Genomic DNA, 23,697 nt, shown 5'->3' with positions numbered 1-23,697 from the left:
CACTAGTACCACATAGTTTTAATTATAGAGGCTTTATAGAATGTTTTCTTATTTTTATTTTAAAATAATTCTTTGTCTTGCGTGAAAATTGTCAATAGTATGTTTTAATATCTGCTGCTCATCATTGCTTTTGTTTTTGTTTTCCTTTTTTTTTTTTTGACACAGTCTCCCTCTGTCCCAGGCTGGGGTGCAATGGTGCGATCTCAGCTCACTGCAACCTCCGCCTCCCGTGTTCAAGCAATTCTCCTGCCTCAGCCTCCCAAGTAGTTGGGACTACAAGCACGTGCCACCATGCCCAGCTAATTTTTGCATTTTTAGTAGAGACACGGTTTCACCATGTTGGCCAGGATGGTCTTGATCTCCTGACCTTGTGATCTGCCTGTCTCAGCCTCCCAAAGTGCTGGGATAACAGGCATGAGCCACAGTGCCCGGCCTTGTTTTTGTTTTCTTGCTTATTATCAGATTTTCTTTTTCCATATAAACTTTTAGCATCAATGTACCTAACTCCAGAAAAAATTTTGGTGTTTTTATTGGGATTATGTTACATTTCTGAATAAACTTGGGGAGAATGTCTGGTATTACTGCTATTTTACAACATAGGAAATGCGGTCCTGGCCCATGTGGTAAGATCAGAAAAATAACAATAGAAATACATATTTTTGGTCAGGCTTAGTGGCTCACACCTGTAATCCCAGCACGTTGGAAGGCCAAAGTGGGTGGATCATGAGGTCAGGAGTTCAAGACCAGCCAAGCCAATATGGTGAAACGTCTCTACTAAAAATACAAAAATTAGCTGGACATGGTGGCGCAGGCCTGTAGTCCCAGGTACTTGGGAGGCTGAGACAGAAGAATCGCTTGAACCAGGGAGCAGAGGTTGCAGTGAGCCAAGATTGTGCCAATGCACTCCAGCCTGGGCAACAGAGCGAGACTCCATCGCAAAAAATAAAAGAAAAAAGGAATTTTTTAAAAATTTTATTGTTTTTTAAGGAGACAGGGTCTTGCTGTGTTGCCCAGGCTTGTCTCCAACTCCTGGCCTCAAACGATCCTCCCATATTGGCCTCTCAAAGTGTGCTGAGATTACAGGCATGAGGCAACGTGCCCAGCCAGAAATACATACTTGGTGAAGAAAAAAAAAATCAAGATTTATAGAAAGTATTATTATATTGAAAATGTGGCTGTGCGTGGTTGCTCATGCCTATTGTAGGGAAAAGAAAGAGATCAGACTGTTACTTTGTCTATGTAGAAAAGGAAGACATAAGAAACTCCATTTTGATCTGTACCCTAAACAATTGTTTTGCCTTGAGACGCTGTTAATCTGTAACTTTAGCCCCAACCTTGTGCTCACAAAACGTGTTGTATGGAATCAAGGTTTAAGGGATCTAGGGCTGTGCAGGATGTGCCTTCTTAACAATATGTTTACAGGCAGTATGCTGGATGAAAGTCATCACCATTCTCCATTCTCAATTAACCAGGGGCACGATGCACTGCAGAAAGCAGCAGGGACCTCTGCCCAGGAAAGCTGGGTATTGTCCAAAGTTTCTCCCCACTGAGACAGCCTGAGATATGGCCTCATGGGATGGGAAAGACCTGACCGTCCCCCAGCCTGACACCCATGAAGGGTCTGTGCTGAGGAGCATTAGTAAAAGAGGAAGGCCTCTGTCTCCTGAATGCCCCTGGGAACGGAATGTCTTGGTATAAATCCCGAATGTACATTGTTCTCTTCTGAGACAGGAGAACACTGCCCTGTGGCTGGAGGTGAGACATGCTGGTGGCAATGCTGCTCTGCTATTCTTTACTACACTGAGATGTTTGGGTGGAGAGAAGCATAAATCTGGCCTACGTGCACATCCAGGCATAGTACCTTCCCTTGAACTTATCTGTGACACAGATTCTTTGCTCATATGTTTTCTTGCTGACCTTCTCCCCACTATCACCCTGTTCTCCTGCTGCATTCCCCTTGCTGAGATAGTGAAAATAGTAATCAATAAATACTGAAGGAACTCAGAGACTGGTGCCAGTGTGGGTCCTCTGGACGCTGAGCGCCGGTCCCCTGGGCCCACTGTTCTTTCTCTATACTTTGTCTCTGTGTCTTATTTCTTTTCTCAGTCTCTCATCCCACCTGATGAGAAATACCCACAGGTGTGGAGGGGCTGGCCCCCTTCACCTATAATCCCAGCATTCTGCAAGGCTGAGATGGGCAAATCACGAGGTCAGGAGTTTGAGACCAGCCTGGCCAACATGGTGAAATGCCCTCTGTACTGAAAATAGAAAAAATAGCTGGGCATAGTGGCAGCCACCTGTAATCCCAGCTACTCAGGAGGCTGAAGCAGGAGAATCACTTGCACCCAGGAGACGGAGGTTGCAGTGAGCTGAGATTGCACCACTGCACTCCAGCCCGGGCAACAGAGTGAGACTCCAGTCTCAAAAAAAAAAAAAAAAAAAAAAAAAAGTAAAAAGAAAACGCAATGGAAACAGCAGGTTCTATAAAATAAAGAATGAAAAAATAGGCTGGGCGCGGTGGCTCACGCCTGTAATCCCAGCACTTTGGGAGGCCGAGGCGGGTGGATCATGAGGTCAGGAGATGGGGATCATCTTGGCTAACACCGTGAAACCCCGTCTCTACTAAGAATACAAAAAAATTAGCTGGTTGTGGTCGCGGGCGCCTGTAGTCCCAGCTACTTAGGAGGCTAGGCAGGAGAATGGTGTGAACCCAGGAGGCGGAGCTTGCAGTGAGCCGAGATTGCACCACTGCACTCCAGCCTGGGGGACAGAGAGAGACTCCGTCTCAAAAAAAAAAAAAAAAGAAAAAGAAAAAGAAAAAATAAAGGCCTACAGAAAGAATGACTGAATGGAAGAGACAGACCATGCCATCTATCACTGGCAGGTTTAATATGGAAGAATCATGGAAAGGCTCCAGGAACATGAGGAGCGGCATACAAAAAAGCTTGACACACACACACACACACACACACACACACACACACACACATATATATATATTTTTTCTTTTTGAGATGAAGTCACGCTCTTGTCCCCCAGATTGGAGTGCAGTGGCGCAACCTCGGCTCACCGCAACCTCCGCCTCCCGGGTTCAAGCGATTCTCCTGCCTCAGCCTCCTGAGTAGCTGGGATTACAAGCGCCTGCCACCACACCCAGCTATTTTTTTGTATTTTTAGTAGAGACGGGGTTTCAGCATGTTGGCCAGGCTGGTGTCAAACTCCCGACCTCAGGTGATCCGCCCGCCTTGGCTTCCCAAAGTGCAGGGATTACAGGCGTGAACCACTGGCGCTTGGCCTTATATATATATTTTAATAGAGACAGGGTCGAGCCGGGCACAGGCCTGGGCAACAAGAGTGAAACTCTGTCTCAAAAAAAAAAAAAAAAAAAAAAAGAAAAGAAAAAAAAAGACACACGGTCTTGCTATTTCACTCAGGCTGGTCTGGAACTCTTGGACTCAAGCTATCCACCTGCCTTAGCCTCCCAAAGTGCTGGAATTACAGGCGTGAGCCACTGAGCCCGCCCAGGATAAGCTTTGGAGGAGCATCCTCTGGGGTGCGTCCCATCCCCCATCCCCGCCTTTCCAACCCGTCTGGGCACCTGAAACGCGGGCTAGGCCGGGTCCCACCTCTAAACCGCCCCCAAATATGGGCCCCACCCCTCGCCCACGGTTCCGTCCAGAGGTCCGGTTCTAAACTCATCTTTTTCTCTGAACCCGTTTCTGCATCCCGCTCCCTGAGCCAACCCCAGGCACTGTCCGGCACCCACCCAGGAGGAAACTAGAATTTCTTTGTCCTACGTGCCTGAAACTCAAGCCCTGGAGCCCCACCCGGCCGGAGGCTCGGAGCGGAAGTGACGTCAGTGTGCCACCGCCATCTTTACCGGCTGTGGCTCAGCATGGTCAGTGCCGTTTAACCTTTATTGTGGTGGAGTCCACCCCGCTGTGGTGAGTTCTACCTGCTTGGGGGTCCGGGACATACCAGCGGGGCGGCAAAGGAAGGATTGGGCGTGGTCGCCCAGGAGCCTCTCAGATCCGCCTAGTTTCACTCGCTTTTCTAGGGGCTGTCAGTCCTCCTGGTGCGGCCTCTGGCCAGTTCCGAGAGGCCGCACAGTCCGTCTGGCTGCGTCGGGAAGTGTGTTTGTTCCGCCTCCGCCGGGTGTTTTCTTGAGTACTTTCATCCGCTGTGCTCCTCTCTTGAAAAGCTTGGAAAGCAACCTTTGGGAGTTTTTTTCTTTCCGAAAGGAAAAGGATTTCTGCCCTTCTGGTGAGGTTGGCTCTGGCCCCGCATTCTCCCGCGTCTGGAACCTATCTCTTCCGGCATGTTCCTGGTGAGCAACGGCGGAAAAATGGTTTCAAGAGGGCTGTGACTTCCATTTATTTGCTAAAAAATGTCTCATCTGAGAATCTGGCGTTGTCTTGATGTCCTTTACTTTTTTTTTTTTTTTGATTTGGAGTCTTACTCTGTCGCCCACGCTGGAGTGCAGTGGCACGATGTTGGCTCACTGCAACTTTCACCTCCCGGGTTCAAGTGATTGTTAGATATGAGTTTTAAATTTCTTTTTAAAAAATCAATATGTCAGTATGTTTAATTCTTTGCCTTCTACTTTTAAACTTCTCCGTAAAGCAACCTTTTTCGATCACCTGCTCCACCCTGACTCATTCTGATTACCTGCTCCACCCAGACTTATTTCGATTACTTACTCCACCCTGACTCATTTTCCACCCTGACTCATTCCAATTTCCTGCTCTGTTATAACCATTTTCCCCAACAAACCACTCACCCTGTCACTCTCTTTAAATTAGCCAATTGGAATTAGTTTAGCCTGTGGGGTCTAACCCTAGCCATCGGGGAAGGACAAAGCGGCAGGGGCCACTTTCCTCAAGAATAAGAACCCCTTCCCCTCCCTTGTCCTGGTGTGTGCTCACCATTGCTCCATCTGTGAGGGCACACCCTTCTGTAGAAGTAAATTGCCTTGCTGAGAAAAGAAAATGTTATATTTGAGTGCTTTTTTTTTGTGGCATGAAAACTTTATAACATGATTCACCTGCCTCAGCCTCCCGAGTAGCTGGGATTCCAGGCGTGCACCACCACACCTGGCTAATTTTTTATATTTTTGGTAGAGATGGGGTTTCACCATGTTGGCCAGGCTGGTCTCGAACTCCTGACCTCAAGTGATCCACCCGCCACTTATTTTTGACACATTACATTCAGATGGAAAAAACATAGTTGTTTAGGGTGTGCCCGTTTTTGTATGTAAATATGAACGCGTGTAGACTAAGCCTTTAGTTTTTAATTTTTATTTTCTTGCAGGTTATTTTTTTTCTAATTGTTACCAGCTGCAAGCCTTTCTACTTAAAGCCAGGCCAGATGCACTGGCTCACACCTGTAATCACAGCACTTTGGGAGGCAGAGGCAGGCGGATCACCTGAGGTCAGGAGATCCAGACTAGCCTAGCCAACATGGTAAAACCCTGTCTCTACTAAAAATACAAAAATTAGCCGGGCTTGGTGGTGGGCCCCTGTAATCCCAGCTGTTGGAGATAAAAAAATAAAACGCTGGGTGCTGCAAAGTGAAACCAGCACTCAGGCAAAAGTTTTCTCAGCAACGCAATTTATTTCTATAGAAGGGTGAGTCTCGTGGATGGAGTGATGGCGAGAGTACACCAGATAAGGGAGGGGAAGGGGTTTTTATTTCTAACGCTGGGTCCCTACTTCTGTGTCTCTCCCCCGTGGGTTAGGGTCAGACCGCAGAATCTAAACTGACCCTATTGGCTATCTGTGAATATTTTCCCCAAATAAGGAAGGGTAGGGGGATGTGTGAGTCATGATGGTGGGATGTGCAGTTTCAAAGAGTGGAATAGCTGCAGAATGAGTAGCCAAGGGAACAGATGTGAGTTATTGATTAGAGCTGATGGGAAGGTTGTTTACAGTAACTAGAGGCAAGGAGGCATGGAGAACAGGAAAGTTGAGTTTGAGAACAAAGAACAAGGAAGTTTACAGGCTGAACTTTTGAAGAGAAATTCAGAGAAATATATTGTATCTTACACAGCTACTCCGGAGGCTGAGGCAAGAGAATCACTTTAACCCGGGAGGCGGAGGTTGCATTGAGCCGAGATCCCGCCACTGCCCTCCAGCCTGGGTGACAAGAGCGAAACTGTCTAAAAAAAAAAAAAAAAAAAAAAGAAAGGCAATAATACTCAACTATTCTCTTCATCTGAAGTTCTTAGGTCTGTACTTCCCCACAGTGCTTCAAAACAGAGGCCTCCAGGAACCAGGAAGAAAGAATGGAGGCTTTATTACACTGACACTAGAATTATTTACTATTATAATCAGAATAGTATTCTAGTATCAGTGTAATAAAATATCTAGTATCTGTATAATTTATTAAGAGCATGTTTGGACTAAGTGTAGTTTTTACATTTTTTTCTGAAAAATTTGATCCTAAGGAAAACTTGAACATCTAACACACCCAGTCTAGTAGATTTACTTAATTTTTTAGCATTTTATTTCTTTCTCCTCATGTAAATCTTACAGTGAACAATTTGAGTGTAAATTGAGCATAAATTGTACATGTGATGCTTGACCTTTAAATACTTTGTAATGCACCTCCTAAAAATAGGCATTGTCATACTAAAACCACAATACTAGTATTTCACTTAAATTAAAAATAATAATGTCATCTAATGTCTACTTTCCGTAATAACTAAAATTCTCCTCATTGATTCAACGTATGCTCTTGGGTGTTTTTGGATCTAAGATCCATTCAAGATTTTTGCATTGCAATTGTCAGTGTCTTCAGTGTCTTTTTGCCTATAACAGTTATTACTGTCCATTATATTGACTTTCAGAGAGTCACACTCATTCTCTTAGAAAGTCATACAATCAGATATTTCTGATTGGATTCTCATGGTGTGTGTAAATATTCCTTTATTTCATGCGATTTCCTACAAACTTGGAATTGGGTCCAGAGGAGAGGCTGACAACAGTTGTTTGATAATGGGTGACAGTATGTACTTCATGCTTTGGGGACCAGAAAGTCTCAAATTACTCAGTTCAGCCTTAGTTACTTCATGTCCCATGACTAGTTGTTCATTCTCTGTCATGTGCTAGTGGCAAACCACAACCTGTTTCTCAAGAGAAAAACAGTTAATCTGCACAAGAGGGCATGGATTGACTCTGCAATACCAGAGGGCTGTACTCTACATCTTCTGTTGGTGCATGCCGGAGGCTTCCAATAAATAACATGCCATTTAACATGGACACGTTGAGTATCACTGGGTCTGCTGGATCAGGTGGACCAAGTGCTTAGGAAGCTTGCATTGCAGCCTGAAATTGCTCTTGTCTACAGTTGAAACTAGAATCCTTACAGGTAACTGTGTGGGGCGTTAAAGTACATGCAAATGTATGTGTTGCCTCCAAAATTCAAGAGGTCTATGGATGGTAGTTTTTGAGAAACCTCCATGCTGGGTTTTTTTTCTTTTTTTGAGACAAAGTCTTGCTGGATCACCCAGGCTGGAGAGCAATGGCATAATCATGGCTCATTGCTCCTTGTTAATGGTAGGTGGTATTAGGTGCAGTAACTTGGAGTGACATCTTGGAGGGATGTCTTTACATGATCCAGACAAGGGAATATCTTTACCCACAGACATGGTGGCCCCAGAATCTCCCACTCCCTATTTTACAATCCAGAAAAATTTTTTTGATTCATAATAGATGAACATATTTTCAGAGTACATGTGATAATTTGATACATTCACATAATCAGGGTAAGTAGCATACCTGTCACCTTAAATATTTATCTTTTCTATATTGTAGGAACATCGTTATTCTCTTAGCTGTGTTGAAATGTATGATAGATGCGTATTAAGTGTAGTCACCCTACTGATCTATTGAATACCAGTTCTTATTTCTTCTAACTGTATATTTTACCGATGAATCAACCTCTTTTTTTTTTTTTTTTGGGAGATGGAGTCTCACCGTCACCCAGGCTAGAATGCAGTGGCATGATCTTGGCTCACTGCAACCTCTGCCTCCTCCCGGATTCAAGTGATTCTCCTGCCTCAGCCTCCCGAGTAGCTAGGATTAAGGGGTGCACCACCACACCCGGCTAATTTTTGTAGTTTTAGTAGAGACGGGGTTTTACCATATTGGACAGGTTGGTCTCGAACTCCTGATCTCACATAATCAGGGTGATCTGCCCGCCTTGGCCTCCTAAAGTGCTGGGATTACAGGCATGAGCCACCTCACTCAGCCTAATCAACCTCTCTTTATCTCCGTCTCCTTCCTACCCTTCTGGCCTCTAGTAACCATCAATCTGTACTCTATGCTCATGAGATCCACTTTTTAGCTCCCACATGTGAGAATATGGGGTATTTGTCTGCTGTGCTTGGCTTATTTCACTTCCATGATGACCTCCAGTTCTATCCAGTTGCTGCAAATGACAGAATTCCATTCTCTTTATGGCTGAATAATAATCTGCTGTCTATATATACCATATTTTCTTTATTCATTCTTTCATTGTTAGACACTTAGGTTGATTCCATATTTTGGCTATTATGAGTAGTGCTGCGGTAAACAAGGGAATGTATATATATCTTTTCAAATATATTGATTTCCTTTCTTTTGGATATATACCCAATGGGATTCCAGATCATATGGTAGTTCTATTTTTAATTTTTTGAGAAACCCCCATACTGTTTTTTTTGTTTTGTTTTGTTTTTTTTGAGATAGTCTTGCTGTGTCACCCAGGCTAGAGTGCCATGGCATAATCATGGCTCACTGCAGCCTTGACTTCCTGGGCTCAGGTGATCCTCCCACCTCAGCTTCCTGAGTAGCCAGGACTACAGGCCTCCACTAATACACCTGGCTAAGTTTTTTTGTTTGTTTCTTTGATTTTTTGAGACAGAGTCTCACTCTGTCACTCAGGCTGGGGTGCAGTGGCACGATCTTGGTTCACTGCAACGTCCGCCTCCTGGGTTCAAGCAATTCTCTTACCTCAGCCTCTGGAGTAGCTGGGACTACAGGTGCACGCCACCATGCCCAGCTAATTTTTGTATTTTCAGTAGAGACAGAGTTTCACCATGTTGACCAGGCTGGTCTCAAACTCCTGACCTCAAATGATCTGCCTGCCTTGGCCTCCTAAAGAGCTGGGATTACAGGCATGAGCTACTGTCCCTGACTGGTTGTGTGTGTGTGTGTGTGTGTGTGTGTGTGTGTGTGTGTGTGCGCGCGCGCGCGCGCGCTCGCGCGCGTGCATGCAGACAGGTCTTGCCAGTTTCAGACAGGTTTTGTGCGTGCATGTGTGTACAGACAGGTGTTGCTGTGTTGCCTAGCCTGGTCTGGAACTCCTGGGCTCAAGTGATCTCCCACCGCAGCCTCAAGTTTTGGGATTAAAGGCCTGAGCCACCACACCTGAATATTGTTCTCTACAGTGGCTGTACTAATTTATATTCCCACCAACTGCATACAAGGATTATCTTTTCACCATATCCTCATCAGCATTTGTTATTCCCTGTCTTTTTTATAAAAGCCACTCTAAATGAGGTGAGATGATATCTCATTGTGGTTATGTGTGATTTGTATTTCTCTGATGATTAGTGATGTTGAGCATTTTTTTGTATGCCTGTTGGCCATTTGTATGTCTTTTTTTTGAGAAACATCTATTCTGACCTTTTGCTGATTTTTTTATCGGATTTTTTTTGTTATCAAGTTTGAGTTCCTTATATATTCTGATTATTAATCCCAGGTGGATAGTTTGTAAATATTTTCTCCCATACTGTAGATTGTTTCTTCACTTTGTTGATTGTTTCTTTTGCTGTGGAGAAGCTTTTTAGCTTGATGTAATCTCATATGTTTGTTTTTGCTCTTGTTGCCTGTGCTTTTGAGATCTTCCCAAGAAATCTTTACCCAGACCAATGCCCTGGATTGTTTCCCAAGGGTCTTCCTCTACTAGTTTTATAGTTTCAGGTGTTAGATGTAAGTCTTTAATCTGTTTTGACTTTTTTTTTTTATGCTGAGAGATGGCATCTAGTTTTATTCTGCATATGGTTATCCAGTTTTCCCAGCAGCATTTATTGAAAAGACTGTTATTTTCCCATTGTATGCTTTTGGTGCCTTTGTTGAAAATGAGCTGTCTGTACATGTGTAGATTTGTATTTAGGTTCTTTGTTCTCTTCCATTGATCTATGTGTTTGTTTGTTTTTTTTATGTCAGTACCATGCTGATTTGGTTATGATAGCTTTGTAGTATATTTTGAAGTAAGGCAGTGTGATGATTCCAGCTTTGTTCTTTTTGTTCAGTATTTCTTTGGCTGTTTGAAGTCTTTTATTGTTGCATATAAATTTTAGGATTTTTTTTCTATTTTTGCGATGAATGTCATTGCTATTTTGATAACGGTTGCTCTTAATTGTAAATTGCTTTGGGTAGTATTGTCATTTTAACAATATTCTTCTAATCCATGAGCATGGAATGTCTTTCCATTTTTTTTCTGTATTCTCTACAGTTTGTTTCATCAGTGTTTTATAGTTTTCCTTGTATAGCTCCTTCACATTTTTGGTTACTTTTTATTTTCTCTTTTTTTCAGAGGTGGGGTCTCACTTTGTTGCCCAGGCTGGAGTACAGTGGTGCAGTTGTAGCTCATGCAGCAGCCTTGAACTCCTGGGCTCAAGGAATCCTCCTGCCTCAGTCTCTTTTGAGTAGCTGGGACTACAGGTGTGTGCCATCATGCCTGGCTAATTTCTTTTTTTTAATTGAGACTGAGCCGTGCCATGTTGCCCAGGCTGGTCTTGAACTGTTGGGCTTAAGCAATCCTTCCACCTCAGCCTCCCAAAATTCTGGGATTACAATTGTGAGTCATCATGCCTGGTGCTGGCATTTTATAGTCTTTGCAGCTATTGTAAATGTGATTACTTCCTTGATTTCTTTTTCAGATTGTTCACCGTTGGCGTATATAAATGCAACTGATTTTTGTATGTTGATTTTGTGTCCTGAACATTTACTGAATTCATTTATCAGTTCTAACAGGTTTTTGGTAGAGTCTTTAGGTTTTTCTAAATATGATTATGTCAGCTGAGCATGGTGGCTCATGCCTGTAATCCCAGCACTTTAGGAGGCCAAAGCAAGAGGATCACTTGAAATCAGGAGTTCAAGGTCAGCCTGGGTAATATATTGAGGACCCCTCTGCCCCCAGTCTCTAAAAAAAAAAAAAGTTAGCATTGTCACACATGCCTGTGGTTCTAGCTACTCGGGAGGCTGAGGCAGGAGTATCACTTGAGCCCAGGAGACCAAGGCTGCAGTGAGCTATGATCACCACTGCATTCTAGCCTGAGCAACAGAGGGAGACCCTGTTTCTAAGGAGAAAAAGGTCATGTCATTGGCAAACATGGCTAATTTGACTTCTTTTTTAGTTGAGATGCCCTTTATTTGTTTCTCTTGCCTAATTGCTCTGGCCAGAACTTATAGTATTATGTTGAATAGAAGTGGTAAAAGTGGACATCCTTGTTCTGTTCAAGATCTCAGAGGAAAGACTTTCAATTTTTCCCTGTTCAGTATGATGTTGGACGTGGGTGTGTCATATATGGCCTTTATTATTTTGAGGTATATTCGTTCTATACACAGTTTGTTGGGGACTTTTGTCAAAAAGGGATATTGAATTTTATCAAATGGTGTTTCAGCATCTGTGGAAATCTCATACGGTTTTTATTCTTGGTTCTGTTAATTTGGTACGTCACATTTATTGATTTGCATATGTTGAACCATCCTTGTATTTCTACGATGAATTTCACTTGATTGTGATGAATGATTTTCTTAATGTGTTGAATTTGGTTTGCTAATATTTTGGTGAGAATTTTTGCAGGTATGTTCATCAGTGATATTGGCGTGTAGTTTTGTTGTTGTTGTTGTGCTCTTGTCTGGTTTTTGATATGAGAATAATGCTCACCTTGTAGACTAAGTTTGGAAATATTCTCTCCTCTTCAATTTTGTTTGAGGAGTTCAAGTAGTATTGGTATTAGTTCTTTAAGTTTTTGGTAGGATTCAGCAGTGAAGTTATCAGGTCCTGGGCTTTTCTTTGATGGGATTCATTTTGTTATCACTTTGATCTTGTTATTGTTGTGTTGAGGTTTTCTATTTCTTCATGGTTCAGTCTTGGTAGGTTGTATGCACCCAAGAATTTGTCTATTTCTTCCAGGCTTTTCAGTTTGTTGGGATATAGTTTTTCATAATAGTTTCTAATGATTGGTTGTATTTCTGTGGTTTCTGTTCTGTTTTCTTTTTCATTTTTTATTTTATTTGGGTCATTTTTTTCCCTTAGTCTAGCCGAAGGTTAATTTTGTTTATCTTTTCAAGTAATCAACTTTATGTTTTATTGATCTTCTGTATTGTTTTTTATTTTCAATTTTATTTTGGCTCTGGTCTTTATTCTTTTGTTCTACTAATTTTGAATCTGGTTTGTTTTTGCTTTTCTAGTATTTTAAGGGGTATCATTAGGTTTATTTTAAATTTTTCTACTTTTTTGATGTATGTGTTTACTGCTGTAAAATTCTCCCTTAGTACTGCTTTTATCCCATAGATTTTGGTTTGTCAACATACCAAAACCAAAACAAAGTTCCATTGTGTAATTTTTTTTTTTTTTTTTTTGAGACGGAGGTTTGTTCTTGTTGCCCAGGCTGGAGTGCAATAGTGCGATCTCGGCTCACCACAACCTCTGCTTCCCGGATTCAAGCGATTCTCCTGCTTCAGCCTCCCGAGTAGTGGGATTACAGGCATGCACCACCATGTCTAGCTAATTTTGTATTTTTAGTAGAGACAGTGTTTCTCTATGTTGGTCAGGCTGGTCTTGAACTCCTGACCTCAGAAGATCCACCCACCTCGGCCTCCCAAAGTGTTGGGATTACAGGCATGAGCCATAGCAACCAGCCTCTTAAATTCTTTTGATTTTTTTTTTTTTTTTTAAAGACTAGGTCTCTCTCTGTCACCTAGCCTGGAGTGCAGTGGTGTGATTATGGCTTACTGCATCCTCTACCTCCCATGCTGAAGCAATCCTCCCACCTCAGTCTCCTAAGTAGGTGAGGTGCACGCCATCACACCTGGCTACTTTTTGTACTTTTTAGTAGAGATGGGTTTTCATCATGTTTCCCAGGCAGGTCTTGAACTCCTGAGCTCAAGCCATCCACCTGTGTCGGCCTCCCAAAATGATTTCCTTTCTTTAAAATTTCCCTAGGTCACCGCCTCCTTTTCAGCACTAGATGGAATCTTAAACCCATGTTTGCCTCTGCTCTAGCAAACAGTCAAGAATACTGCCCATCCAGAATTGGGGAGTCCTAAAGGGCATATTCCAGCAATGTGGGAAGGCTGGCTGTGTGTTCTGCCCAGGGGACCTGTGTAGCATACCCCTACAGTATGCTGCTCCCAGGGCTGGGGATGGTAGTCCTGCCTCCCCTCTTTGTCCCTGGATGTCCTCAGGGTATTTCTCCCTTCAGGCTCTTGTGATGCTTCCTGTGGGTTGAGACAGGGAGGGACTGATCTTTTACCAGGGAACCCAGGATGGTGGAGAAGGTGGTTGTCCACCTTGAGCTCAGTTTTTTCCAGTGTAGAAACTGAATTGGTAGAAATTTTCCACATTCTTGGTGCTGGATTAAGGAGAAGGGTGTTGTGGATATGGAAATTTGATTCTCTTACCATCTCCTTGGAGTTTTTTTCACTTCGTTGTAGCCACAGAAACTGCTTTTTTTTTTTTTTTTTAGACAGAGTCTTGCTCTGTCCCCAGGCTGGAGTGCAGTGGCACGATCTTGGCTCACTGCAACCTCCGCCTCCCAGGTTCAAGCAATTCTCCAACCTCAGTATCCTGAGTAGCTGGGACTTCAGGCGTGTGCCACCATGCCCAGCTAATGTTTGTATTTTCAGTAGAGACAGGGTTTCACCATGTTGGCCAGGCTGGTCTCAAACTCCTGACCTCAGGTGAGCCACCTGCCTTGGCCTCCCAAAGTGCTGGCATTACAGGCATGAGCCACTACACCTGGCCTAGAGCTGTTTTTTAAAGCACATGTGTGCATATATAGAAATGTGTTATATAAACGGTGGTATTTGAGATATTTTCTTTTCTTTTCTTTTCTTTTTGAGACAGAGTCTCACTCTGTCGCCCAGGCTGTACCTCATGATCCACCCGCCTTGGCCTCCCAGAGTGCTGGGATTACAGGCATGAGCCACCATGCCCAGCTGGTCTCGAACTTCTGCCCTCAGGTGATCCACCTGCATCAGCCTCCCAAAGTGCTGGGATTATAGGTGTGAGCTACTGCATCCAGCCCTGAGAAACTTTTCAAAAACGGCAGAAACCCAAAAGTCCTCAGATCACATATATGATTACATCCATAAGCCAAACCGTGCAAGAAATGTACAAGATAATGTTGGAACACATGCCCTGTGTGAAAACAATCAGTGACTGTTAGGGTCTTGTCAAAAGGAAAGGAGCCATCTTGAAGACAGTCCACTGGCCAGTGGTGGAACAACTTAACCATAACATAATAGTTTTTGTAAGTACTGATAACAAATCCAACCCAAAATGTGCAGCCCCTCCTTGGGGAAAATTAAACTTTAAGGAACGTTAAAACAAGTGAACTATAATTCCAGCACTTTTGGAGGCTGGGGCGGGTGGACCACTCGTGGTCAGGAGTTCCAGACCATCCAGACCAACGTGGAGAAACACAGTCTCTACTAAAAACACAAAAATTAGCCAGGTGTGGTGATGTATGCCTGTAATCGCAGCTACTTGGGAGGCTGAGGCAGGAGAATAGCTTAAACCAAAGAGGCGGAGGTTGCAGTGAGCCTAGATTGTGCCATTGCACTCCTGGCTGGACAACAAGAGTGAAACTCTGTCTTAAAAAACAAAACAAAACAAAACAAATTCACAGACCAGGTGTGGTGGCTCACACCTGTAATCTCAGCACTTTGGGAGGCCAAGGCAGGCAGATCACCTGAGGTCAGGAGTTCAAGACCAGCCTGGCTGTCATTGTGAAACCCCATCTCTACTAAAAATACAAAAAAAAAATAGCTGGGAATGGTGGCATGCACCTGTAATCCCAGCTATTTGGGAGGCTGTGGCAGGAGAATCACTTGAACTAGGGAGTCCCAGCTACTCTGGAGTCCTGTAGTCCCAGCTACTTGAGAGGCTGAGGCAGGAAAATCGCTTGAACCTGGGAGGCGGCGGCTGCAGTGAGCCGAGATCGCGCCACTGCACTCCAGCCTGGGCGACAGAATGAGACTCTGTCTCAGAAAAAAAAAGAAAAAGAAAAAAAAGAACAATAGCTACAGTGGTGGCAATCGTGCTACTGCAGTCTAGCCTGGGCGATAAGAGCAAGACTCCGTCTCAAAAAACAAAAACAAAACAAAAAAAAACCCATCTACACAGTCAACCAGTGTGATGATTTTTGGAATGTCAGGACCCTTGAAGACTATATTTTGGAAGTGAACAGGAAGGAAAATTTATGCAGTCTGGAGGCAATGGTGTGGAGTGATTCTGGCTGTTTCTTTTCTTTTTCCTTTTTTTTTTTTTTTTGAGATGGAGTCTCGCTCTGTCACCCAGGCTGGAGTGCAGTGGCGCAATCTCACTTACTGCAAGCTCCACCTCCTGGGTTCATGCCATTCTCCTGCCTCAGCCTCCTGAGTATCTGGGACTACAGGCGCCTGCCACCATGCCTGGCAATTTTTTTTTTTTTTGTATTTTTAGTAGAGACGAGGTTTCACTGCATTAGCCGGATGGTCTCGATCTCCTGACCTCGTGACCCACCCGCCTCGGCCTCCCAAAGTGCTGGGATTACAGGTGTGAGCCACTGCACCCATCCAGTTCTGGCTGTTTTTTCAAATTGGCATAGAGATAAGGCCATTATCTACATTAGTTGTGTACCAAGTGGCAACTGTTGTGTTCATTCTTTTCAGTAAAGAACAACATTTAGAACAATAGCTGGCCAGGCGCAGTGGCTCACATCTGTAATCCCAGCACCTTGGGAGGCTGAGGTGGGCACCTCCCGGGTTCGAGTGATTCTCCTGCCTTAGCCTCCTGAGTAGGTTGGACTACAGCATCCATGAGTGGCTAAGGTTTGTATTTTTAGTAGAGATGAGGTTTCACCATATGGGCTAGGCTGATCTTGAACTCCTGACCTCAAGTTCACGCCATTGTCCTGCCTCAGCCTCCCAAGTAGCTGGGACTACAGCCGCCCAACACCACAACTGGCTAATTTTTTGTATTTTAGTAGAGACGGGGTTTCATTGTGTTAGCCAGGATGGTCTCGATCTCCTGACCTTGTGGTCTGCCTACCTTGGTACTCCCAAAGTGCTGGGATTACAGGCGTGAGCCACTGTGCCTGGCCTGTTGTCTATATTTTCTTTCTCTCTTTTTTTTTTTTTGAGATGGAGTCTCGCTCTGTCACCCAGTCTGGAGTGCAGTGGCATGATCTCGGCTCACTGCAACCTCTGCCTCCCGGGATCAAGCAATTCTCCTGCCTCAGCCTTCTGAGTAGTCGTGTGCCACCACGCCCAGCTAATTTTTGTATTTTTAGTAGAGACAGGGTTTTGCCATGATGGCCAGGCTGGTCTTGAACTCCTGACCTCAGGTGATCTGCCTGCCTCAGCCTCCCAAAGTACTGAGATTACAAGTGTGAGCCACCGCGCCTGGCCATCTTTTGAATATTTTAAATTCTGTTTTTCATCATCTTAGGTACACAATGAAGTTATCAATAACACACGTGGCTAGTGACTACTGAGTTGTTCTGTGCAAGTCTGGGCTGTCTTCTGGTCATACTGGGGGGTAACAGCATATACAGGGGATCAGGCTCTAGGGTCAAATATCAGACCAATTACTAGGATTATTTGAATGTAGGTTTTTTTCAGTATTAATAGAGGTAATAGGCCAGGCATGGTGGCTCATGCTTATTATCCCAGCACTTTGGGAGGCCAAGGTGGGAGGATTGTTTGAGCCCAGGAGTTTGAGACCAGCCTGGGCAACCTGGTGAAACCTTGTTTCTACTAAAAATGCAAAAAATTAGATCCAGTGGTGTGCACCTGTAGTCCCAGCCACTTTGGGGGCTGAAGTGGGAGAATCACTTGTTTGAGACCAGCCTGGCCAATATGATGAAACCCCTTCCTTACACATTTCTTTTTTGTTGTTGTTGTTTGAGATGGAGTCTCGCACTGTCACCTGGGCTGGAGTGCGATGGCACAGTCTCAGCTCACTGCAACCTCCACCTCCCGGGGTCAAGCGATTCTCCTTCCTCAGCATCCTGAGTAGCTGGGATTCCAGGTGCCCACCACCACACCCAGCTAATTTTTTCTATTTTTAGTAGAGACAGGGTTTCACTATGTTGGCCAGGCTGGTCTGGAACTCCTGACCTCGTGATCCACCTGCCTTGGCCTCCCAAAGTGTTGGGATTACAGGCATGAGCCACCGTGCCTGACCAACCCCATCCTTACTAAAAATATAAAAATTAGCCAGGCATGGTGGTGCATACCTGTAATCCCAGCTACTCGGGAGGCTGAGGCCTGATAATCACTTGAACCTGGGAGGCAGAGGTTGCAGTGAGTCAAGATCACGCCACTGCATTTCAGCCTGGGCAACAGAGTGAGACTCTGTCTCAAAATAATAATAATAATATAATAATAAGGCTTGACGATGCACACCTGTGGTCCCAGCTATTCAGGAAGCTGAGGTGGGAGGATCACTTGAGCCCGGGAAATGTAGGCTACAGAGAGCTGTTGTTGTGTCATTGTACTTAAACCTGGGCAACAGAATGAGACCCTGTCTCAATAAATAGATAGATGGATAGATACATAGATACATATAGGTAATGATAGCTGTTGGGAAGGATGGTTATGATAATTAAGTGAGCATGTATATATAAAGCTACTAGAGCTACTTCTGACATACTAGTCCTCAATAAATGTCAGTTGCTGTTATTAATACTATCATTACTGAGTGACGATACTGAGTATACAGTTTTTGGTGGCCTTCACATCTGTCACCTGCAGAGAGAAAGCTCATGCATAATGTTCAATGACTGATGTTTGATGCTTGTTGTTTGGTGATTGGTATGAACAGGGCCTCAGATAACCCTGTACAAAGGGGAATGGAGATTGCCTGTATCCACCTAGATTCATAAGCTGCCCTGAGGCGATCTTGGCATCAAGAAAGACAGCATTGAGGCACATCTCACCATCAGCTTCAGAGGATGTCAGCCTTTGATATGTCCCATGGTAAGTCCTTGTTGATGCTCTTTTTCAGAGATTCTGCTTTAGGTCGCCCTCCACAACATAAGAGTCCAGTGAGCTGGGCCTGAACAGGCATGCTGCTTTTTTTTTTTTTCTTTTAGATGGAGTTTTGCTCTTGTTGCCCAGGCTGAAGTGCAATGGCATGATCTTAGCTCACCGCAACCTCCACCTCCTGGGTTCAAACAATTCTCCTGCCTCACCCACCCGAGTCACTGGGACCACAGGCTAATTTTGTATTTTTAGTGGAGACGGGTTTCTCCATGTTGGTCAGGCCGGTCTTGAACTCCCGACCTCAGGTGATTTGCCTGCCTCGGCCTCCCAAAGTGTTGGAATTACAGGCATGAGCCACCGTGCCTGGCTGCTGCTAGTTCTTTAAGGAGGAATTCAAGTAAGACGCAGAATGCTCTTTTATTTTATTCATATTTTTATTTATTTATTTTTTGAGACCGAATCTTGCTCTGTCACCCAGGCTGGAGTGCAGTGGTGTAACCTTGGCTCACTGAAACCTCCGCCTGCTGGGTTCAAGCAATTCTCTTGCCTTAGCTTCTTAAGTAGCTGGGATCACAAGCATGCATCACCAGGTTCAGCTAATTTTTTTTTTTTTTTTTTTTTTTTTGAGATGGAGTCTCACTCTGTCACCCAGGCTGAAGTGCAGTTGCATGATCTTGACTCATTGCAACCTCCACTTCCCAGGTTCAAGCAGTTCTCTGCCTCAGCCTCCTGTAGTTTTTTTTTTTTTTTTTTTTTTTTTTTTTTTTTTTTTTTTTTTTTTTTTAGTAGAGACGGGGTTTTGCCATGTTGGCCAGGCTGGTCTTGAATGCCTGACCTCGAGTGATTTGCCCACCTTGGCCTCCCAAAATGTTGGGATTACAGGCATGAGCCTCTGTGCCCAGTCAGAATGCTGTTTTAGAATTCAGCCCTGGTTTGTGTGCCTTTGGAAATGCTACATAAGCTTCATGAGTGTTACTACTATGGGCAGATAGTCACATTTTTCAGGGTGTAAGTTTCCTTGAAAAATGAAACTGTTACCCTTTACACAACAGGCAGCTCAGCCCATATCTGCTTTTCTGGGTCTAGGTGATACAGGACTACTACGGCATTTCATGGAAGTGTTGTGTGTGTGTAGTTTTTTCGAGTGTGCAGGAGCATATGGGAATTTCAAGCTAGGATGGAATGACTTCTGGGCATAAGAATGTGGGCAGCTCTGGCTTCTCATGCCTTCTTACTTTTCCACTAGGGTTTTTTCCCAGGGAACCAATCTGTCCTTTTGAAGAAAAGACAAAGATAGGAACGATGGTAGAGGACCACCGGTCAAATTCTTACCAGGTAAACAGAAAATGTACCGTTGTACAAAATGACATACTTACATCCAATAGGTAGACACATTTCCTTCTAGACAGACTCATCTCCAGAGTTTTCTTAGAGCAAATGAAGCCTTACTCAAGGACTGAATCCCCAGGTGAATTTCCCCAGGGAATGAAGTCTCCTATACATAAAGTGTTAACTTGAAGATCATTCCAGTAGCTCGGTAATTACTACTTAAGCTTGACCTTCATGGTGCCAACTGCATCTTTCTTACATTGCTGGGTGCGGTGACAGATGATAAAGCAGATGAAAGTGTCCTTTTATCAAATAATTAATTCACTCATCAGCATTTATCAGGTATCTGCAGTGTGCTGAGGAGTGTGCTGCCCAGAGACCAATGGGACAGGAAGAGCTCCTAGCCTGTTTGTGCTGAGATAATGTAAGCAGTGTGCAGTGGCTCATGCCTGTAATTCCAGCTACTCAGGAGGCTGGGGTGGGAGGAGCACTTCAGCCCAGGAGATTGAAGCTGCAGTAAGCAGCGATTGTGCCTGGGTGGCACAGTGGGACCCTGTCTTTATATATAAATAAATAAAAAGATTGGATAGATAGATAGATAGATGCTAGATAGATAAAAATTAATGTTTAGGAAGTACTGTTCTAATCAAAAATTAAAATTAAAAAAAATTAAAAAATTAAAAATAAATAGATCAGACAAAAAAGATTTAAAAATTTTTTTAAAAAGTACTGTTCAGATGGGCATGGTGTCTCACACCTATAATCCCAGCACCTTGGGAGGCTGAGGTGGGCCGATCACATGAGGTCAGAAGTTTGAGACCTTCCTGGCCAACATGGTGAAACCCCTTTTCTACTAAAAATACAAAAATTATCCAGGCGTGATGTTGCATGCCTGTAATCCCATCTACTTGGGAGGCTGAGGCATGAGAATCACTTGAACTTAGGAGGTGGAGGTTGCAGTGAGCCGAGATCGTGCCATTGCACTCCAGCCTGGGCAAAAAGAGCAAAACTCTGTCACAAAAAAAAAGAAAGAAAGAAAGAAAAAAAGTGCTGTTTAAGGCATATGCCTGTAGGAGGTCAACCTTGATTGTTTAGACACAAGAGCTCCTGAGACATTAAACCCTGGAGTAGATCATGGGAGACTTGAGAACCACGTATAAGTGAGTATAAGGTTCCCCTTTCCTCATTCTCCAGTGAATATTGGTGGAAGTGTTCATTGGCTCAAACCAGCATGTGTTTGATGACTTAGGATTCAGTGACGTTTGATGATGTGGCTGTGGAGTTCACCCCAGAGGAGTGGGCTTTACTGGACACAACTCAGAAATACCTCTACAGAGATGTGATGCTGGAGAACTACATGAACCTGGCCTCTGTGGGTAAGAGTAACATCACTTTGCTTGGCATGGTGGCCTGCACCTGTAGTCCCAGATACTTGGGAGGCTGAGGTGGGAGAATCGCTGGAGCCTGGGAGTTTGATACTAGCATGGGCAACATTGTGAAACCTCATCTCTAAAAAAAAATCCTAAGAATAAAGACTAGGCCGGTCCCGGAGGTTCACGCCTGTAATCCCAGCACTTTGGAAGGCTGAGGCAGGCAGATCACAAGGTCAGGAAATCAAGACCAGCCTGGCTAACATGGTGAAACCCTGTCTCTACTAAAAATGCAAAAAAATTAGCCAGGCATGGTGGCACATGCCTGTAGTCCCAGTTACTCGGGAGGCTGAGGCAGTAGAATCGCTTGAACCCAGGAGGCAGGGGTTGCAGTGAGCCGAGATTGTGCCACTGCACTCCAGCCTGGTGACAGAGTGGGACTTTGACTCAAAAAAAAAAAAAAGATTTTTAAAGATCCACTTTGCCTGAGAAGATTTAAGCTGTTTTTCTCAGAATTTCAGATATCTCTGACTTTTACTTTCCATCTAGTCAAACAAAACTACCAGTTCTGTTTTTTTTGTTTGTTTGTTTTGCTTTTGGTTTTTTTTGGTTTTTTTTTTTTTGAGGGAGTCTCACTCTGTCACCCAGGCTGGGGTGCAGTGGCAGGATCTCTGCTCACTGCAAGCTCTGCCTCCCGGGTTCTTGCCATTCTCCTGCCTCAGCTTCCCGAAGCTGTTCTGTTTTTTTGTTAAGTTTATCATTTTGATATATGCTCTTTATCCTGATCTTTCCTGCTTTCCTTTCCTGATAATTTTCTCTTCCTGTTCCCCATCAGTTGTAATTTTCACAGAAGCAGTTTGTTATAAACTATCTAAACACATCAGTTGTGTAATAAACCCCACATCCTTATAGCCAAATTTTTGACATACCAAAATCCTCAAGGTTCTCTTGTTTTCTTTTTTCTTTTTTTTTTTTGAGATGGAGTCTCGTTCTGTCACCCAGGCTGGAGTGCAGTGGTGTGATTTCAGCTCACTGCAACCACCGCCTCTGGGGTTCAAGTGATTCCCCTGCCTCAGCCTCCTGAGTAGCTGGGACTACAGGCACATGCCAACGCGCCCGGCTAATATATATATATATATATATTTTTGTATTTTACTAGAGAGAGGGTTTCACCATTTTGGTCAGGATGGTCTTGATCTCCTGACCTCGTGATCCACCCACCTCAGCCTCCCAAAGTCCTGGGATTACGGGCCTGAGTCACCGTGCCTGGCCTGTGGCTTTTATTTTCATACTGTGTTTAATTTGAAAACAAGGACAAATGACTAATTTTAAACTAACACATTTCTTCTCTAAACCCTTAGATTTCTTTTTCTGCTTAACTTCAGAATGGGAAATACAACCTAGAACCAAACGGTCATCACTTCAGCAGGGTTTTTTGAAGAATCAAATATTCACTGGGATACAAATGGTAAGATTCATGAGGGATACTTATTTTTTTCTTCTGTTTTTTGAGACGGAGTCTTGCTCTGCCAGGCTGAAGTGCAGTGGCACCATCTCAGCTCACCGCAACCTCCAACTCCCAGGTTCAAGCGATTCTCTTGCCTCAGCCTCCCGAGTAGCTAGGACTACAGGCACCCACCACCATGCCCAGCTAATTTATTGTATTTATAGTAGAGACAGGGTTTCACTATGTTAGCCAGGATGGTCTTGATCTCCTGACCTCGTGATCCATCTGCCTCGACCTCCCAAAGTGCTGGGATTACAGGCGTGAGCCACTGTGTCAGGCCATGAGGGATATTTCTTAATTTCCTCTCTCAGAAAAGATTGAGAATTCCATTCTAAAAAATCAGCCCAGTTAGTGGTGTGGTTTACATCTGTAATCCCAGCTACTTAGGAGGCTGAGGTGGGATCATCATTTGAGCCCAGGAGTTCAAGACCAGCCTAGGCAGTATAGCAATATACCATCTCTGATTTTAAAAAGAGGCTGGATGTGGTGGCTCATGCCTGTAATCCCAACACTTTAGGAGGCAAAGATAGGTGGATCACTTGAGGTCAGGAGTTTGAGACAGGCCTGGCCAACATGGTGAAAACTCTGTCTCTACTAAAAATACAAAATTAGCTGTGTGTGGTGGTGGGCACCCGTTATCCTAGTTACTCGGGCGGCTGAGGCAGGACAATTGCTTACCCAGAGGCCGAGGTTGCTGAGTGAGCCAGCACTGCACCACTGCATTCCAGCTTAGATGACCAAGTGAGACTCCATCTAAAAAAAAAAAAAAAAAAAAAAAAAAAAAAAAAAAGAAAGAAAAGAAAGTGAATCCTGTAATCCCAGCACTTTGGGATGTGGAGGTGTGTGGATCACTTGAGGTTAGCACTTTGAGACCAGCCTGACCAACATGGTGAAACTCTGTCTCTACTAAAAATACAAAATTAGCCAGGTGTGGTGGGCACCTGTAATCCCAGTTACATGGGAGGCTGAGGCAGAATTGCTTAAACACGGGAGGTGGAGTTGGCATGAAAAAGAAACAGCACAAATGAGAGATACTTGAGAGAGAAGTAGCCTGCACCCTTGAGGGAGCAGGGTCTCTGGAGAGATAGTCTGAATGTGATGAATTTTCTGATGTTCCATACCTGTATAACTTGTCACTGAAAAATACCGACAAGTACATATTCCCACATATGTAACTAGACATTGAGGATTTAAAGTTTCATGAAAATCTGCACAATTTGGCTGGGTGCAATGGCTGACACCTGCA

The 23,697-nt window shown here is 44.0% G+C and overlaps 1 protein-coding gene across 8 annotated transcripts in view, besides 5 other annotated features; it reads left to right on the top strand.

Moving 5' to 3' along the window:
• Window positions 2,653–3,652: an enhancer, noted in NCBI's record as "NANOG-H3K27ac-H3K4me1 hESC enhancer chr19:9785983-9786982 (GRCh37/hg19 assembly coordinates)". NCBI's record gives its function as "activates a minimal SCP1, AML or CMV promoter by ChIP-STARR-seq in naive H9 embryonic stem cells {active_cell/tissue: H9 hESC(naive)}" and the evidence as "EXISTENCE:reporter gene assay evidence [ECO:0000049][PMID:30033119]".
• Window positions 3,653–4,152: an enhancer, noted in NCBI's record as "OCT4-NANOG-H3K27ac-H3K4me1 hESC enhancer chr19:9785483-9785982 (GRCh37/hg19 assembly coordinates)". NCBI's record gives its function as "activates a minimal SCP1, AML or CMV promoter by ChIP-STARR-seq in naive and primed H9 embryonic stem cells {active_cell/tissue: H9 hESC(naive and primed)}" and the evidence as "EXISTENCE:reporter gene assay evidence [ECO:0000049][PMID:30033119]".
• Window positions 3,653–4,890: a biological region, named in NCBI's record as "CDK7 strongly-dependent group 2 enhancer GRCh37_chr19:9784745-9785944".
• Window positions 3,691–4,890: an enhancer, noted in NCBI's record as "CDK7 strongly-dependent group 2 enhancer chr19:9784745-9785944 (GRCh37/hg19 assembly coordinates)". NCBI's record gives its function as "activates an origin of replication core promoter dependent on BRD2, BRD4, P300/CBP, MED14 and CDK7 cofactors, with strong dependence on CDK7, by STARR-seq in HCT116 cells {active_cell/tissue: HCT116}" and the evidence as "EXISTENCE:reporter gene assay evidence [ECO:0000049][PMID:35650434]".
• ZNF562 (zinc finger protein 562) overlaps window positions 3,859–23,697 on the top strand; it is a 33,294-nt gene continuing 13,455 nt past the window's right edge. For 2 of the 8 annotated variants that reach the window (NM_001130031.2, NM_001300885.2), the window contains exons 1-5: window positions 3,859–3,944; window positions 18,085–18,239; window positions 19,492–19,580; window positions 20,824–20,950; window positions 22,306–22,412. In NM_001130031.2, coding sequence (NP_001123503.1) covers window positions 18,215–18,239; window positions 19,492–19,580; window positions 20,824–20,950; window positions 22,306–22,412 — 348 coding nt within the window. In that variant the 5' untranslated portion in view covers window positions 3,859–3,944; window positions 18,085–18,214. Of the gene's footprint in view, window positions 4,328–13,994; window positions 14,528–18,084; window positions 18,240–19,491; window positions 19,581–20,823; window positions 20,951–22,305; window positions 22,413–23,697 lie in introns of those variants that run through there. The other 6 variants (NM_001130032.2, XM_017026898.3, XM_047438994.1 and 3 more) reach the window with 6 other exon arrangements.
• Window positions 3,915–3,974: an enhancer, noted in NCBI's record as "active region_13933". NCBI's record gives its function as "activates an Ori minimal core promoter by ATAC-STARR-seq in GM12878 lymphoblastoid cells {active_cell/tissue: GM12878}" and the evidence as "EXISTENCE:reporter gene assay evidence [ECO:0000049][PMID:35858748]".

This window comes from Homo sapiens, chromosome 19 (assembly GCF_000001405.40).
Source record: "Homo sapiens chromosome 19, GRCh38.p14 Primary Assembly".
NCBI classification, from domain to species: domain Eukaryota; kingdom Metazoa; phylum Chordata; class Mammalia; order Primates; family Hominidae; genus Homo; species Homo sapiens.
Note: the sequence above shows the minus strand (reverse complement) of the source record. Positions and strands in the feature narration are given on the sequence as shown.